An 18,164-nucleotide genomic window follows, 5' to 3' on the forward strand; every position below is an offset into this window, starting at 1 on the left:
TGTAGAAACTGCAAGTGGATGTTTGGTCCTCTCTGAGGATTTCGTTGGAAACGGGATAAACCGCACAGAACTAAAACAGAAGCATTGTCAGAAACTTCTTTGTGATGATTGCATTCAACTCACAGAGTTGAAGGTTCCTTTTCAAACAGCAGTTTCCAATCACTCTTTCTGTGGAATCTGCAAGTGGATATTTGGGCCTCTCTGAGGATTTCGTTGGAAACGGGATAAAACGCACAGAACTAAAACAGAAGCATTCTCAGAAACTTCTCTGTGATGTTTGTGTTCAACTCCCAGAGTTTCACGTTGCTTTTCATAGAGTAGTTCTGAAACATGCTTTTCGTAGTGTCTGCAAGTGGACATTTGGAGCGCTTTCAGGCCTGTGGTGGAAAACGAATTATGGTCACATAAAAACTGGAGAGAAGCCTTCTCAGAAACTTCTCTGTGATGATTGCATTCAACTCACAGAGTTGAACCCTCCTATGGATAGAGCAGTGTTGAAACTCTCTTTTTGTGGAACCTGCAAGTGGATATGTGGACCTCTCCGAAGATGTCTTTGGAAACGGGAATATCTTCACATAAAAACTAAACAGAAGCATTCTCAGAAACTTCTTGGTGATGTTTGCATTCAAATCCCAGAGTTGAACCTTCCTTTGATAGTTCAGGTTTGAAACACTCTTTCTGTAGGATCTGCAAGTGGCTATTTGGACCACTCTGTGGCCTTCGTTCGAAACGGGTATATCTTCGCATAAAATCTAGACAGAAGCATTCTCAGAAAATACTTTGTGATGATTGAGTTTAAATCACAGAGCTGACCATTCCTTTGGATGGAGCAGGTTTGAGACACACTTTTTGTAGAATCTACAAGTGGATATTTGGACCTCTCTGAGGATTTCGTTGGAAACGGGATAACTGCACCTAACTAAACGGAAGCATTCTCAGAAACTGCTTTGTGATGATTGCATTCACCTCACAGAGTTGAACATTCCTATTGATAGAGCAGTTTGGAAACACTCTTGTTGTGGAATGTGCAAGTGGAGATTTGGAGCGCTTTGAGGCCTGTGGTAGTAAAGGGAATAGCTTCATAGAAAAACTAGACAGATGCATTCTCAGGAACTTTTTGGTGATGTTTGTATTCAACTCCCAGAGTTGAACTTTCCTTTGGAAAGAGCAGCTATGAAACACTCTTTTTCTAGAATCTGCAAGTGGACGTTTGGAGGGCTTTGTGGTTTGTGGTGGAAAAGGAAATATCTTCACCTAAATACTAGATAGAAGCATTCTCAGAAGCTTCTCTGTGATGACTGCATTCAACTCACGGAGTTGAACACTCCTTTTGAGAGCGCAGTTTTGAAACTCTCTTTCTGTGGCATCTGCAAGGGGACATGTAGACCTCTTTGAAGATTTCGTTGGAAACGGAATCATCTTCACATAAAAACTATACAGAAGCAGTCTCAGAATCTTCTTTGTGATGTTTGCATTCAAATCCCAGAGTTGAACTTTCCTTTCAAAGTTCACGTTTGAAACACTCTTTTTGCAGGATCTACAAGTGGATATTTGGACCACTCTGTGTCCTTCGTTCGAAACGGGTATATCTTCACACGACATCTAGACAGAAGCTTTCTCAGAAAATTCTTTGGGATGATTGAGTGGAACTCACAGAGCTGAACATTCCTTGCGATGTAGCAGTTTAGAAACACACTTTCTGCAGAATCTGCAAGTGCATATTTGGACCTCTCTGAGGAATTCGTTGGAAACGGGATAATTTCAGCTGACTAAACAGAAGCATTCTCAGAACCTTCTTCGTGATGTCTGCATTCAACTCACAGTGTGGAACCTTTCTTTGATAGTTCAGGTTTGAAACACTCTTTTTGTAGAAACTGCAAGGGGATAATTGCACTTCTTTGAGGCCTACCGTAGTAAAGGAAATAACTTCCTATAGAAAGAAGACAGAAGCATTCTCAGAACCCTCTTCGTGATGTTTGCATTCAACTCACAGTGCTGAACCTTTCTTTGATAGTTCAGCTTTGAAACACTCTTCTTGTAGAAACTGCAAGTGGATATTTGGTCCTCTCTGAGGATTTCGTTGGAAACGGGATAAACCGCACAGAACTAAACAGAAGCATTCACAGAAAACTCTTGGTGACGACTGAGTTTAACACACAGAGCTGAATATTCCTTTGGATGGAGCAGTTTCTAAACACACTATTTGTAGGATCGGCAAGTGGATATGTGGGCCTCTCTGAGGATTTCGTTGGAAACGGGATAAACCGCACAGAACTAAAACAGAAGCATTCTCAGAAACTACTTTGTGATGATTGCATTCAAGTCACAGAGCTGAACATTCCCTTTGACAGAGCAGTTTGGAAACTCTCTTTGTGTAGAATCTGCAAGTGGAGATATGGAAGGCTTTGAGGACTATGTTAGTAAAGGAAATAGCTTCATATAAAAGCTAGACCTTAGCATTCTCAGAAACTTCTTTGTGATGCTTGCATTCAACTCACAGAGTTGAACTTTCCTTTCGAGAGAGAAGCTTTGAAACACTCTTTTTCCAGAATCTGCAAGTGGACATTTTGAGGGCTTTGAGGCCTGTGGTGGAAAAGGAATTATCTTCCCGTAAAAGCTAGATAGAAGCATTGTCAGAAACTTCTTTGTGATGATTGCATTCAACTCACAGAGTTGAAGGTTCCTTTTCAAACAGCAGTTTCCAATCACTCTTTCTGTGGAATCTGCAAGTGGATATTTGGGCCTCTCTGAGGATTTCGTTGGAAACGGGATAAAACGCACAGAACTAAAACAGAAGCATTCTCAGAAACTTCTCTGTGATGTTTGTGTTCAACTCCCAGAGTTTCACGTTGCTTTTCATAGAGTAGTTCTGAAACATGCTTTTCGTAGTGTCTGCAAGTGGACATTTGGAGCGCTTTCAGGCCTGTGGTGGAAAACGAATTATGGTCACATAAAAACTGGAGAGAAGCCTTCTCAGAAACTTCTCTGTGATGATTGCATTCAACTCACAGAGTTGAACCCTCCTATGGATAGAGCAGTGTTGAAACTCTCTTTTTGTGGAATCTGCAAGTGGATATGTGGACCTCTCCGAAGATGTCTTTGGAAACGGGAATATCTTCACATAAAAACTAAACAGAAGCATTCTCAGAAACTTCTTGGTGATGTTTGCATTCAAATCCCAGAGTTGAACCTTCCTTTGATAGTTCAGGTTTGAAACACTCTTTCTGTAGGATCTGCAAGTGGCTATTTGGACCACTCTGTGGCCTTCGTTCGAAACGGGTATATCTTCGCATAAAATCTAGACAGAAGCATTCTCAGAAAATACTTTGTGATGATTGAGTTTAACTCACAGAGCTGAACATTCCTTTGGATGGAGCAGGTTTGAGACACACCTTTTGTAGAATCTACAAGTGGATATTTGGACCTCTCTGAGGATTTCGTTGGAAACGGGATAACTGCACCTAACTAAACGGAAAGCATTCTCAGAAACTGCTTTGTGATGATTGCATTCACCTCACAGAGTTGAACATTCCTATTGATAGAGCAGTTTGGAAACACTCTTGTTGTGGAATGTGCAAGTGGAGATTTGGAGCGCTTTGAGGCCTATGGTAGTAAAGGGAATAGCTTCATAGAAAAACTAGACAGTGCATTCTCAGGAACTTTTTGGTGATGTTTGTATTCAACTCCCAGAGTTGAACTTTCCTTTGGAAAGAGCAGCTATGAAACACTCTTTTTCTAGAATCTGCAAGTGGACGTTTGGAGGGCTTTGTGGTTTGTGGTGGAAAAGGAAATATCTTCACCTAAATACTAGATAGAAGCATTCTCAGAAGCTCCTCTGTGATGACTGCATTCAACTCACGGAGTTGAACACTCCTTTTGAGAGCGCAGTTTTGAAACTCTCTTTCTGTGGCATCTGCAAGGGGACATGTAGACCTCTTTGAAGATTTCGTTGGAAACGGAATCATCTTCACATAAAAACTATACAGAAGCAGTCTCAGAATCTTCTTTGTGATGTTTGCATTCAAATCCCAGAGTTGAACTTTCCTTTCAAAGTTCACGTTTGAAACACTCTTTTTGCAGGATCTACAAGTGGATATTTGGACCACTCTGTGTCCTTCGTTCGAAACGGGTATAACTTCACACGACATCTAGACAGAAGGTTTCTCAGAAAATTCTTTGGGATGATTGAGTGGAACTCACAGAGCTGAACATTCCTTGCGATGTAGCAGTTTAGAAACACACTTTCTGCAGAATCTGCAAGTGCATATTTGGACCTCTCTGAGGAATTCGTTGGAAACGGGATAATTTCAGCTGACTAAACAGAAGCATTCTCAGAACCTTCTTCGTGATGTCTGCATTCAACTCACAGTGTGGAACCTTTCTTTGATAGTTCAGGTTTGAAACACTCTTTTTGTAGAAACTGCAAGGGGATAATTGCACTTCTTTGAGGCCTACCGTAGTAAAGGAAATAACTTCCTATAGAAAGAAGACAGAAGCATTCTCAGAACCCTCTTCGTGATGTTTGCATTCAACTCACAGTGCTGAACCTTTCTTTGATAGTTCAGCTTTGAAACACTCTTCTTGTAGAAACTGCAAGTGGATATTTGGTCCTCTCTGAGGATTTCGTTGGAAACGGGATAAACCGCACAGAACTAAACAGAAGCATTCTCAGAACCTTCTTCGTGATGTTTGCATTCAACTCACACTGTTGAACCTTTCTTTGATAGTTCAGGTTTGAAACGGTCTTTCTGTAGAAACTGCAAGTAGATATTTGGACCTCTCTGAGGATTTCGTTGGAAACGGGATAAACCGCACAGAACTAAAACAGAAGCATTCACAGAAAACTCTTGGTGACGACTGAGTTTAACTCACAGAGCTGAACATTCCTTTGGATGGAGCAGTTTCGAAACACACTATTTGTAGAATGTGCAAGTGGATATTTGGGCCTCTCTGAGGATTTCGTTGGAAACGGGATAAACCGCACAGAACTAAACAGAAGCATTCTCAGAAACTACTTTGTGATGATTGCATTCAAGTCACAGAGTTGAACATTCCCTTTGACAGAGCAGTTTGGAAACTCTCTTTGTGTAGAATCTGCAAGTGGAGATATGGACCGCTTTGAGGCCTATGGTAGTAAAGGAAATAGCTTCATATAAAAGCTAGACAGTAGCATTCTCAGAAACTTCTTTGTGATGCTTGCATTCAACTCACAGAGTTGAACTTTCCTTTCGAGAGAGAAGCTTTGAAACACTCTTTTTCCAGAATCTGCAAGTGGACATTTGGAGGGCTTTGAGGCCTGTGGTGGAAAAGGAATTAACTTCCCGTAAAAGCTAGATAGAAGCATTGTCAGAAACTTCTTTGTGATGATTGCATTCAACTCACGGAGATGAAGGTTCCTTTACAAACAGCAGTTTCCAAACACTCTTTCTGTGGAATTTGCAAGTGGATATTTGGACCTCTTTGAAGATTTCGTTGGAAACGGGAGAATCTTCACAGAAAAGCTAAACAGAAGCATTCTCAGAAACTCCTTTGTGATGTTTGTTTTCAACTCACAGAGTTTAACATTGCTTTCCATAGAGCAGTTTTGAAACATTCTTTTCTTAGTGTCGGCAAGTGGACATTTGGAGCGCTTTCAGGCCTGTGGTGGAAAACGAATTATCGTCACATAAAAACTAGAGAGAAGCCTTCTCAGAAACTTCTCTGTGATGATTGCATTCAAGTCACGGAGTTGAACACTCCTTTTGATAGAGCATTTTTGAAACTCTCTTTTTGTAGAATCTGCAAGTGGATATGTGGACCTCTTTGAAGATTTCTTTGGAAACGGGAATATCTTCACATAAAAACTAAACAGAAGCAGTCTCAGAAACTTCTTTGTGATGTTTGCATTCAAATCCCAGACTTGAACCTTCCTTTGATAGTTCAGGTTTGAAACCCTCTTTTTGTAGGATCTGCCAGTGGATATTTGGACCACTTTGTGGCCTTCGTTCGAAACGGGTATACCTTCACATAAAATCTAGACAGAAGCATTCTCAGAAAATACTTTGTGATGATTGAGTTTAAATCACAGAGCTGAACAGTCCTTTGGATGGAGCAGGTTTGAGACACACTTTTTGTAGAATCTACAAGTGGATATTTGGACCTCTCTGAGGATTTCGTTGGAAACGGGATAACTGCACCTAACTAAACGGAAGCATTCTCAGAAACTGCTTTGTGATGATTGCATTCACCTCACAGAGTTGAACATTCCTATTGATAGAGCAGTTTGGAAACACTCTTGTTGTGGAATGTGCAAGTGGAGATTTGGAGCGCTTTGAGGCCTATGGTAGTAAATGGAATAGCTTCATAGAAAAACTAGACAGATGCATTCTCAGGAACTTTTTGGTGATGTTTGTATTCAACTCCCAGAGTTGAACTTTCCTTTGGAAAGAGCAGCTATGAAACACTCTTTTTCTAGAATCTGCAAGTGGACGTTTGGAGGGCTTTGTGGTTTGTGGTGGAAAAGGAAATATCTTCACCTAAATACTAGATAGAAGCATCCTCAGAAGCTTCTCTGTGATGACTGCATTCAACTCACGGAGTTGAACACTCCTTTTGAGAGCGCAGTTTTGAAACTCTCTTTCTGTGGCATCTGCAAGGGGACATGTAGACCTCTTTGAAGATTTCGTTGGAAACGGAATCATCTTCACATAAAAACTATACAGAAGCAGTCTCAGAATCTTCTTTGTGATGTTTGCATTCAAATCCCCGAGTTGAACTTTCCTTTCAAAGTTCACGTTTGAAACACTCTTTTTGCAGGTTCTACAAGTGGATATTTGGACCACTCTGTGTCCTTCGTTCGAAACGGGTATATCTTCACATGACATCTAGACAGAAGCTTTCTCAGAAAATTCTTTGGGATGATTGAGTTGAACTCACAGAGCTGAGCATTCCTTGCGATGTAGCAGTTTAGAAACACACTTTCTGCAGAATCTGCAAGTGCATATTTGGACCTCTGTGAGGAATTCGTTGGAAACGGGATAATTTCAGCTGACTAAACAGAAGCATTCTCAGAACCTTCTTCGTGATGTCTGCATTCAACTCACAGTGTGGAACCTTTCTTTGATAGTTCAGGTTTGAAACACTCTTTTTGTAGAAACTGCAAGGGGATCATTGCACTCTTTGAGGAGTACCGTAGTAAAGGAAATAACTTCCTATAAAAAGAAGACAGAAGCATTCTCAGAACCCTCTTCGTGATGTTTGCATTCAACTCACAGTGCTGAACCTTTCTTTGATAGTTCAGCTTTGAAACTCTCCTTTTGTAGAAACTGCAAATGGATATTTGGTCCTCTCTGAGGATTTCGTTGGAAAAGGGATAAAACGCACAGAACTAAACAGAAGCATTCACAGAAAACTCTTGGTGACGACTGAGTTTAACTCACAGAGCTGAACATTCCTTTGGATGGAGCAGTTTCAAAACACACTATTTGTAGAATGTGCAAGTGGATATGTGGGCCTCTCTGAGGATTTCGTTGGAAACGGGATAAACCGCACAGAACTAAAACAGAAGCATTCTCAGAAACTACTTTGTGATGATTGCATTCAAGTCACAGAGTTGAACATTCCCTTTGACAGAGCAGTTTGGAAACTCTCTTTGTGTAGAATCTGCAAGTGGAGATATGGACCGCTTTGAGGCCTATGGTAGTAAAGGAAATAGCTTCATATAAAAGCTAGACAGTAGCATTCTCAGAAACTTCTTTGTGATGCTTGCATTCAACTCACAGAGTTGAACTATCCTTTCGAGAGAGAAGCTTTGAAATACTCTTTTTCCAGAATCTGCAAGTGGACATTTGGAGGGCTTTGAGGCCTGTGGTGGAAAAGGAATTATCTTCCTGTAAAAGCTAGATAGAAGCATTGTCAGAAACTTCTTTGTGATGATTGCATTCAACTCACAGAGTTGAAGGTTCCTTTTCAAAGAGCAGTTTCCAATCACTCTTTCTGTGGAATCTGCAAGTGGATATTTGGACCTCTTTGAAGATTTCGTTGGAAACGGGAGAATCTTCACAGAAAAGCTAAACAGAAGCATTCTCAGAAACTTCTCTGTGATGTTTGTGTTCAACTTCCAGAGTTTCACATTGCTTTTCATAGAGTAGTTCTGAAACATGCTTTTCGTAGTGTCTGCAAGTGGACATTTGGAGCGCTTTCAGGCCTGTGGTGGAAAACGAATTATGGTCACATAAAAACTGGAGAGAAGCCTTCTCAGAAACTTCTCTGTGATGATTGCATTCAACTCACAGAGTTGAACCCTCCTATGGATAGAGCAGTGTTGAAACTCTCTTTTTGTGGAATCTGCAAGTGGATATGTGGACCTCTCCGAAGATGTCTTTGGAAACGGGAATATCTTCACATAAAAACTAAACAGAAGGATTCTCAGAAACTTCTTGGTGATGTTTGCATTCAAATCCCAGAGTTGAACCTTCCTTTGATAGTTCAGGTTTGAAACACTCTTTTTGTAGGATCTGCAAGTGGCTATTTGGACCACTCCTGTGGCATTCGTTCAAAACGGGTATATCTTCGCATAAAATCTAGACAGAAGCATTCTCAGAAAATACTTTGTGATGATTGAGTTAAAATCACAGAGCTGAACATTCCTTTGGATGGAGCAGGTTTGAGACACACTTTTTGTAGAATCTACAAGTGGATATTTGGACCTCTCTGAGGATTTCGTTGGAAACGGGATAACTGCACCTAACTAAACGGAAGCATTCTCAGAAACTGCTTTGTGATGATTGCATTCACCTCACAGAGTTGAACATTCCTATTGATAGAGCAGTTTGGAAACACTCTTGTTGTGGAATGTGCAAGTGGAGATTTGGAGCGCTTTGAGGTCTATGGTAGTAAAGGGAATAGCTTCATAGAAAAACTAGACAGATGCATTCTCAGGAACTTTTTGGTGATGTTTGTATTCAACTCCCAGAGTTGAACTTTCCTTTGGAAAGAGCAGCTATGAAACACTCTTTTTCTAGAATCTGCAAGTGGACGTTTGGAGGGCTTTGTGGTTTGTGGTGGAAAAGGAAATATCTTCACCTAAATACTAGATAGAAGCATTCTCAGAAGCTTCTCTGTGATGACTGCATTCAACTCACGGAGTCTGAACACTCCTTTTGAGAGCGCAGTTTTGAAACTCTCTTTCTGTGGCATCTGCAAGGGGACATGTAGACCTCTTTGAAGATTTCGTTGGAAACGGAATCATCTTCACATAAAAACTATACAGAAGCAGTCTCAGAATCTTCTTTGTGATGTTTGCATTCAAATCCCAGAGTTGAACTTTCCTCTCAAAGTTCACGTTTGAAACACTCTTTTTGCAGGATCTACAAGTGGATATTTGGACCACTCTGTGTCCTTCGTTCGAAACGGGTATATCTTCACACGACATCTAGACAGAAGCTTTCTCAGAAAATTCTTTGGGATGATTGAGTGGAACTCACAGAGCTGAACATTCCTTGCGATGTAGCAGTTTAGAAACACACTTTCTGCAGAATCTGCAAGTGCATATTTGGACCTCTCTGAGGAATTCGTTGGAAACGGGATAATTTCAGCTGACTAAACAGAAGCATTCTCAGAACCTTCTTCGTGATGTCTGCATTCAACTCACAGTGTGGAACCTTTCTTTGATAGTTCAGGTTTGAAACACTCTTTTTGTAGAAACTGCAAGGGGATAATTGCACTTCTTTGAGGCCTACCGTAGTAAAGGAAATAACTTCCTATAGAAAGAAGACAGAAGCATTCTCAGAACCCTCTTCGTGATGTTTGCATTCAACTCACAGTGCTGAACCTTTCTTTGATAGTTCAGCTTTGAAACACTCTTCTTGTAGAAACTGCAAGTGGATATTTGGTCCTCTCTGAGGATTTCGTTGGAAACGGGATAAACCGCACAGAACTAAACAGAAGCATTCTCAGAGCCCTCTTCGTGATGTTTGCATTCAACTCACAGTGCTGAACCTTTCTTTGATAGTGCAGCTTTGAAACACTCTTTTTGTAGAAACTGCAAGTGGATGTTTGGTCCTCTCTGAGGATTTCGTTGGAAACGGGATAAACCGCACAGAACTAAAACAGAAGCATTGTCAGAAACTTCTTTGTGATGATTGCATTCAACTCACAGAGTTGAAGGTTCCTTTTCAAACAGCAGTTTCCAATCACTCTTTCTGTGGAATCTGCAAGTGGATATTTGGGCCTCTCTGAGGATTTCGTTGGAAACGGGATAAAACGCACAGAACTAAAACAGAAGCATTCTCAGAAACTTCTCTGTGATGTTTGTGTTCAACTCCCAGAGTTTCACGTTGCTTTTCATAGAGTAGTTCTGAAACATGCTTTTCGTAGTGTCTGCAAGTGGACATTTGGAGCGCTTTCAGGCCTGTGGTGGAAAACGAATTATGGTCACATAAAAACTGGAGAGAAGCCTTCTCAGAAACTTCTCTGTGATGATTGCATTCAACTCACAGAGTTGAACCCTCCTATGGATAGAGCAGTGTTGAAACTCTCTTTTTGTGGAATCTGCAAGTGGATATGTGGACCTCTCCGAAGATGTCTTTGGAAACGGGAATATCTTCACATAAAAACTAAACAGAAGCATTCTCAGAAACTTCTTGGTGATGTTTGCATTCAAATCCCAGAGTTGAACCTTCCTTTGATAGTTCAGGTTTGAAACACTCTTTCTGTAGGATCTGCAAGTGGCTATTTGGACCACTCTGTGGCCTTCGTTCGAAACGGGTATATCTTCACATAAAATCTAGACAGAAGCATTCTCAGAAAATACTTTGTGATGATTGAGTTTAAATCACAGAGCTGACCATTCCTTTGGATGGAGCAGGTTTGAGACACACTTTTTGTAGAATCTACAAGTGGATATTTGGACCTCTCTGAGGATTTCGTTGGAAACGGGATAACTGCACCTAACTAAACGGAAGCATTCTCAGAAACTGCTTTGTGATGATTGCATTCACCTCACAGAGTTGAACATTCCTATTGATAGAGCAGTTTGGAAACACTCTTGTTGTGGAATGTGCAAGTGGAGATTTGGAGCGCTTTGAGGCCTGTGGTAGTAAAGGGAATAGCTTCATAGAAAAACTAGACAGATGCATTCTCAGGAACTTTTTGGTGATGTTTGTATTCAACTCCCAGAGTTGAACTTTCCTTTGGAAAGAGCAGCTATGAAACACTCTTTTTCTAGAATCTGCAAGTGGACGTTTGGAGGGCTTTGTGGTTTGTGGTGGAAAAGGAAATATCTTCACCTAAATACTAGATAGAAGCATTCTCAGAAGCTTCTCTGTGATGACTGCATTCAACTCACGGAGTTGAACACTCCTTTTGAGAGCGCAGTTTTGAAACTCTCTTTCTGTGGCATCTGCAAGGGGACATGTAGACCTCTTTGAAGATTTCGTTGGAAACGGAATCATCTTCACATAAAAACTATACAGAAGCAGTCTCAGAATCTTCTTTGTGATGTTTGCATTCAAATCCCAGAGTTGAACTTTCCTTTCAAAGTTCACGTTTGAAACACTCTTTTTGCAGGATCTACAAGTGGATATTTGGACCACTCTGTGTCCTTCGTTCGAAACGGGTATATCTTCACACGACATCTAGACAGAAGCTTTCTCAGAAAATTCTTTGGGATGATTGAGTGGAACTCACAGAGCTGAACATTCCTTGCGATGTAGCAGTTTAGAAACACACTTTCTGCAGAATCTGCAAGTGCATATTTGGACCTCTCTGAGGAATTCGTTGGAAACGGGATAATTTCAGCTGACTAAACAGAAGCATTCTCAGAACCTTCTTCGTGATGTCTGCATTCAACTCACAGTGTGGAACCTTTCTTTGATAGTTCAGGTTTGAAACACTCTTTTTGTAGAAACTGCAAGGGGATAATTGCACTTCTTTGAGGCCTACCGTAGTAAAGGAAATAACTTCCTATAGAAAGAAGACAGAAGCATTCTCAGAACCCTCTTCGTGATGTTTGCATTCAACTCACAGTGCTGAACCTTTCTTTGATAGTTCAGCTTTGAAACACTCTTCTTGTAGAAACTGCAAGTGGATATTTGGTCCTCTCTGAGGATTTCGTTGGAAACGGGATAAACCGCACAGAACTAAACAGAAGAATTCTCAGAGCCCTCTTCGTGATGTTTGCATTCAACTCACAGTGCTGAACCTTTCTTTGATAGTGCAGCTTTGAAACACTCTTTTTGTAGAAACTGCAAGTGGATGTTTGGTCCTCTCTGAGGATTTCGTTGGAAACGGGATAAACCGCACAGAACTAAAACAGAAGCATTGTCAGAAACTTCTTTGTGATGATTGCATTCAACTCACAGAGTTGAAGGTTCCTTTTCAAACAGCAGTTTCCAATCACTCTTTCTGTGGAATCTGCAAGTGGATATTTGGGCCTCTCTGAGGATTTCGTTGGAAACGGGATAAAACGCACAGAACTAAAACAGAAGCATTCTCAGAAACTTCTCTGTGATGTTTGTGTTCAACTCCCAGAGTTTCACGTTGCTTTTCATAGAGTAGTTCTGAAACATGCTTTTCGTAGTGTCTGCAAGTGGACATTTGGAGCGCTTTCAGGCCTGTGGTGGAAAACGAATTATGGTCACATAAAAACTGGAGAGAAGCCTTCTCAGAAACTTCTCTGTGATGATTGCATTCAACTCACAGAGTTGAACCCTCCTATGGATAGAGCAGTGTTGAAACTCTCTTTTTGTGGAATCTGCAAGTGGATATGTGGACCTCTCCGAAGATGTCTTTGGAAACGGGAATATCTTCACATAAAAACTAAACAGAAGCATTCTCAGAAACTTCTTGGTGATGTTTGCATTCAAATCCCAGAGTTGAACCTTCCTTTGACAGTTCAGGTTTGAAACACTCTTTTTGTAGGATCTGCAAGTGGATATTTGGACCACTCTGTGGCCTTCGTTCGAAACGGGTACATCTTCGCATAAAATCTAGACAGAAGCATTCTCAGAAAATACTTTGTGATGATTGAGTTGAACTCACAGAGCTGAACATTCCTTTGGATGGAGCAGGTTTGAGACACACTTTTTGTAGAATCTACAAGTGGATATTTGGACCTCTCTGAGGATTTCGTTGGAAACGGGATAACTGCACCTAACTAAACGGAAGCATTCTCAGAAACTGCTTTGTGATGATTGCATTCACCTCACAGAGTTGAACATTCCTATTGATAGAGCAGGTTGGAAACACTCTTGTTGTGGAATGTGCAAGTGGAGATTTGGAGCGCTTTGAGGCCTATGGTAGTAAAGGGAATAGCTTCATAGAAAAATTAGACAGATGCATTCTCAGGAACTTTTTGGTGATGTTTGTATTCAACTCCCAGAGTTGAACTTTCCTTTGGAAAGAGCAGCTATGAAACACTCTTTTTCTAGAATCTGCAAGTGGACGTTTGGAGGGCTTTGTGGTTTGTGGTGGAAAAGGAAATATCTTCACCTGAATACTAGATAGAAGCATTCTCAGAAGCTTCTCTGTGATGACTGCATTCAACTCACGGAGTTGAACACTCCTTTTGAGAGCGCAGTTTTGAAACTCTCTTTCTGTGGCATCTGCAAGGGGACATGTAGACCTCTTTGAAGATTTCGTTGGAAACGGAATCATCTTCACATAAAAACTATACAGAAGCAGTCTCAGAATCTTCTTTGTGATGTTTGCATTCGAATCCCAGAGTTGAACCTTCGTTTGAAAGTTCAGGTTTGAAACCCTCTTTTTGCAGGATCTACAAGTGGATATTTGGACCACTCTGTGGCCTTCGTTCGAAACGGGTATATCTTCACATGACATCTAGACAGAAGCTTTCTCAGAAAATTCTTTGGGATGATTGAGTGGAACTCAACAGAGCTGAACATTCCTTGCGATGTAGCAGTTTAGAAACACACTTTCTGCAGAATCTGCAAGTGCATATTTGGACCTCTCTGAGGAATTCGTTGGAAACGGGATAATTTCAGCTGACTAAACAGAAGCATTCTCAGAACCTTCTTCGTGATGTCTGCATTCAACTCACAGTGTGGAACCTTTCTTTGATAGTTCAGGTTTGAAACACTCTTTTTGTAGAAACTGCAAGGGGATAATTGCACTTCTTTGAGGCCTACCGTAGTAAAGGAAATAACTTCCTATAGAAAGAAGACAGAAGCATTCTCAGAACCCTCTTCGTGATGTTTGCATTCAACTCACAGTGCTGAACCTTTCTTTGATAGTTCAGCTTTGAAACACTCTTCTTGTAGAAACTGCAAGTGGATATTTGGTCCTCTCTGAGGATTTCGTTGGAAACGGGATAAACCGCACAGAACTAAACAGAAGAATTCTCAGAGCCCTCTTCGTGATGTTTGCATTCAACTCACAGTGCTGAACCTTTCTTTGATAGTGCAGCTTTGAAACACTCTTTTTGTAGAAACTGCAAGTGGATGTTTGGTCCTCTCTGAGGATTTCGTTGGAAACGGGATAAACCGCACAGAACTAAAACAGAAGCATTGTCAGAAACTTCTTTGTGATGATTGCATTCAACTCACAGAGTTGAAGGTTCCTTTTCAAACAGCAGTTTCCAATCACTCTTTCTGTGGAATCTGCAAGTGGATATTTGGGCCTCTCTGAGGATTTCGTTGGAAACGGGATAAAACGCACAGAACTAAAACAGAAGCATTCTCAGAAACTTCTCTGTGATGTTTGTGTTCAACTCCCAGAGTTTCACGTTGCTTTTCATAGAGTAGTTCTGAAACATGCTTTTCGTAGTGTCTGCAAGTGGACATTTGGAGCGCTTTCAGGCCTGTGGTGGAAAACGAATTATGGTCACATAAAAACTGGAGAGAAGCCTTCTCAGAAACTTCTCTGTGATGATTGCATTCAACTCACAGAGTTGAACCCTCCTATGGATAGAGCAGTGTTGAAACTCTCTTTTTGTGGAATCTGCAAGTGGATATGTGGACCTCTCCGAAGATGTCTTTGGAAACGGGAATATCTTCACATAAAAACTAAACAGAAGCATTCTCAGAAACTTCTTGGTGATGTTTGCATTCAAATCCCAGAGTTGAACCTTCCTTTGATAGTTCAGGTTTGAAACACTCTTTTTGTAGGATCTGCAAGTGGATATTTGGACCACTCTGTGGCCTTCGTTCGAAACGGGTATATCTTCGCATAAAATCTAGACAGAAGCATTCTCAGAAAATACTTTGTGATGATTGAGTTTAACTCACAGAGCTGAACATTCCTTTGGATGGAGCAGGTTTGAGACACACTTTTTGTAGAATCTACAAGTGGATATTTGGACCTCTCTGAGGATTTCGTTGGAAACGCGATAACTGCACCTAACTAAACGGAAGCATTCTCAGAAACTGCTTTGTGATGATTGCATTCACCTCACAGAGTTGAACATTCCTATTGATAGAGCAGTTTGGAAACACTCTTGTTGTGGAATGTGCAAGTGGAGATTTGGAGCGCTTTGAGGCCTATGGTAGTAAAGGGAATAGCTTCATAGAAAAACAAGGCAGATGCATTCTCAGGAACTTTTTGGTGATGTTTGTATTCAACTCCCAGAGTTGAACTTTCCTTTGGAAAGAGCAGCTATGAAACACTCTTTTTCTAGAATCTGCAAGTGGACGTTTGGAGGGCTTTGTGGTTTGTGGTGGAAAAGGAAATATCTTCACCTAAATACTAGATAGAAGCATTCTCAGAAGCTTCTCTGTGATGACTGCATTCAACTCACGGAGTTGAACACTCCTTTTGAGAGCGTAGTTTTGAAACTCTCTTTCTGTGGCATCTGCAAGGGGACATGTAGACCTCTTTGAAGATTTCGTTGGAAACGGAATCATCTTCACATAAAAACTATACAGAAGCAGTCTCAGAATCTTCTTTGTGATGTTTGCATTCAAATCCCTGAGTTGAACTTTCCTTTCCAAGTTCACGTTTGAAACACTCTTTTTGCAGGATCTACAAGTGGATATTTGGACCACTCTGTGTCCTTCGTTCGAAACGGGTATATCTTCACATGACATCTAGACAGAAGCTTTCTCAGAAAATTCTTTGGGATGATTGAGTGGAGCAAACAGAGCTGAACACTCCTTGCGATGTAGCAGTTTAGAAACACCCTTTCTGCAGAATCTGCAAGTGCATATGTGGACCTCCTCTGAGGAATTCGTTGGAAACGGGATAATTTCAGCTGACTAAACAGAAGCATTCTCAGAACCTTCTTCGTGATGTCTGCATTCAACTCACAGTGTGGAACCTTTCTTTGATAGTTCAGGTTTGAAACACTCTTTTTGTAGAAACTGCAAGGGGATCATTGCACTTCTTTGAGGCCTACCGTAGTAAAGGAGATAACTTGCTATAAAAAGAAGACAGAAGCATTCTCAGAACCCTCTTGGTGATGTTTGCATTCAACTCTCGGTGCTGAACCTTTCTTTGATAGTTCAGCTTTGAAACACTCTTTTTGTAGAAACTGCAAGTGGATATTTGGTCCTCTCTGAGGATTTCGTTGGAAACGGGATAAACCGCACAGAACTAAACAGAAGCATTCTCAGAACTTTCTTCGTGATGTTTGCATTCAACTCACAGTGTTGAACCTTTCTTTGATAGTTCAGGTTTGAAACGGTCTTTCTGTAGAAACTGCAAGTAGATATTTGGACCTCTCTGAGGATTTCGTTGGAAACGGGATAAACCGCACAGAACTAAAACAGAAGCATTCACAGAAAACTCTTGGTGACGACTGAGTTTAACTCACAGAGCTGAACATTCCTTTGGATGGAGCAGTTTCGAAACACACTATTTGTAGAATGTGCAAGTGGATATGTGGGCCTCTCTGAGGATTTCGTTGGAAACGGGATAAACCGCACAGAACTAAACAGAAGCATTCTCAGAAACTACTTTGTGATGATTGCATTCAAGTCACAGAGTTGAACATTCCCTTTGACAGAGCAGTTTGGAAACTCTCTTTGCGTAGAATCTGCAAGTGGAGATATGGACCGCTTTGAGGCCTATGGTAGTAAAGGAAATAGCTTCATATAAAAGCTAGACAGCAGCATTCTCAGAAACTTCTTTGTGATGCTTCCATTCAACTCACAGAGTTGAACTTTCCTTTCGAGAGAGAAGCTTTGAAACACTCTTTTTCCAGAATCTGCAAGTGGATATTTGGAGGGCTTTGAGGCCTGTGGTGGAAAAGGAATTATCTTCCCGTAAAAGCTAGATAGAAGCATTGTCAGAAACTTCTTTGTGATGATTGCCTTCAACTCACAGAGTTGAAGGTTCCTTTTCAAACAGCAGTTTCCAAACACTCTTTCTGTGGAATCTGCAAGTGGATGTTTGGACCTCTTTGAAGATTTCGTTGGAAACGGGAGAATCTTCACAGAAAAGCTAAACAGAAGCATTCTCAGAAACTTCTCTGTGATGTTTGTGTTCAACTCCCAGAGTTTCACATTGCTTTTCATAGAGTAGTTCTGAAACATGCTTTTCGTAGTGTCTGCAAGTGGACATTTGGAGCGCTTTCAGGCCTGTGGTGGAAAACGAATTATGGTCACATAAAAACTGGAGAGAAGCCTTCTCAGAAACTTCTCTGTGATGATTGCATTCAACTCACAGAGTTGAACCCTCCTATGGATAGAGCAGTGTTGAAACTCTCTTTTTGTGGAATCTGCAAGCGGATATGTGGACCTCTCCGAAGATGTCTTTGGAAACGGGAATATCTTCACATAAAAACTAAACAGAAGCATTCTCAGAAACTTCTTGGTGATGTTTGCATTCAAATCCCAGAGTTGAACCTTCCTTTGATAGTTCAGGTTTGAAACACTCTTTTTGTAGGATCTGCAAGTGGATATTTGGACCACTCTGTGGCCTTCGTTCGAAACGGGTACATCTTCGCATAAAATCTAGACAGAAGCATTCTCAGAAAATACTTTGTGATGATTGAGTTGAACTCACAGAGCTGAACATTCCTTTGGATGGAGCAGGTTTGAGACACACTTTTTGTAGAATCTACAAGTGGATATTTGGACCTCTCTGAGGATTTCGTTGGAAACGGGATAACTGCACCTAACTAAACGGAAGCATTCTCAGAAACTGCTTTGTGATGATTGCATTCACCTCACAGAGTTGAACATTCCTATTGATAGAGCAGTTTGGAAACACTCTTGTTGTGGAATGTG

The 18,164-nt window shown here is 40.9% G+C and overlaps 1 annotated feature.

The window, feature by feature from the left end:
• Positions 1 to 18,164: part of a centromere (Linear centromere model derived predominantly from reads generated in PMID: 17803354. This region does not represent an actual centromere sequence, as long-range ordering of repeats and unmapped WGS contigs is not provided by the model. For details of model production, see http://arxiv.org/abs/1307.0035.) that runs on past both edges of the window.

This window comes from Homo sapiens, chromosome 17 (assembly GCF_000001405.40).
Source record: "Homo sapiens chromosome 17, GRCh38.p14 Primary Assembly".
NCBI lineage: Eukaryota > Metazoa > Chordata > Mammalia > Primates > Hominidae > Homo > Homo sapiens.